Below are 1401 nucleotides of genomic sequence, written 5' to 3'. Positions count from 1 at the left end.
AAGTACAGACAAATACTAACATTTCTCAACTCTCTTTGCCTAAGTTCAGACACAATACTGTTGTGTCTGAAAACAACAATATTATTGGGGATAAAAACATTTAATTTTTAAAACGTGCATCTGGCAGTGATTAAGACCTGTATTGTGAGTTGATTAATTTGACATAAAATTAAGAATGCTATTCCTAGTGTAAATGGTGCTTTTCCTATAAATGAGGAAAGAGAAAAGAGGTATTTCAATTTTCTTTTATGCCTAGCTTGTAATTCTTTCATTAAAAGCACTAATTTGTTTGTCTACACTAATTTTTCTGTGAAGCTGCTTATTTTACTATTATTTAATGGAAAGTGCTCCTTTTCATAATTTATAGAGTCTTCTCTGTAAGGCATGGGAGAAATGAGTTACTTGGATGAGATAATCCTCAGCATTTTGCTAGAGATTCCAAACCTGGTGTTCAGTATTAAAGGTGACCTTTCCTGCGAGGGGATGGAAAGTGGAATATGTCTATTAAGGAGTTGATGAACTCTAACTGATATAAATGTGACTTGCCATGTTGGATTTTGTACAGCAGAAAAAACATGACATTCACAATTACCCTTCTCTCTAACTCTTCAAATTCCTTTTAAATCAATCAAGCCATATTACCACCAATTTAGAGTAAAAATGTTATTAGGTCATTATTTCAGTGAAGGATTCTATGAAATTATTTTCTAGATGTCAATAATTTGAAAAAAAACAAGGCAAAGCATGATCATCCATTGAAGGCACTGAAGAAAACCTTCTCAATCTGATTCTTTACAGAAGTTTGATCTCTTTAAACACGTTCTGCACTATTGCTATCCCACCATGGAACTGCTCATTTGTACATTTCCCAGTCCTTTTTTTCTTAATTTGAGAAACTGTCTTCCTCTCACTCTGTTTCCCAGGGTGGAATGCAGTGGTGCAATCTCCTGGCTTACTCCCAGGTTCAAACCATCCTCCTACCTCAGCTTCTCCAGTACCCGGAACTACAGACATGAGCCACTGTAGCTGGCTCTATTTATTTATTTATTTATTTATTTATTTATTTAAATGACACTGGAGCTGTCATCTGCTCCTACTCATTTCTGCAACTCAGAGAACCAAGAATTGGAATGAGCCAGCTGGGTTAGAAAACCACAAACCACAGTTCAAAACCCAAATAGGTGTGGGTTTTGACCCAAAGATCTGAAGTCATCCTAGTCAAGGGCCAGAGGCAGCCAATAAGAGAAAATATTCAAGGGAAACTGAAAGCATTTGGCTGAAGAGTTCCCGAGCCAGGCCTCAGACTGTATCGGCTGTCTTGGTACTTTCTGGATGGTGGTGGGAAAATTAGCTCCTGAAAATGATGGGCTGGAGGCAGGCTGGGCAAGCCTTGGTCACTGG

This window comes from Homo sapiens, chromosome 2 (assembly GCF_000001405.40).
Source record: "Homo sapiens chromosome 2, GRCh38.p14 Primary Assembly".
Lineage (NCBI taxonomy): Eukaryota > Metazoa > Chordata > Mammalia > Primates > Hominidae > Homo > Homo sapiens.
Note: the sequence above shows the minus strand (reverse complement) of the source record.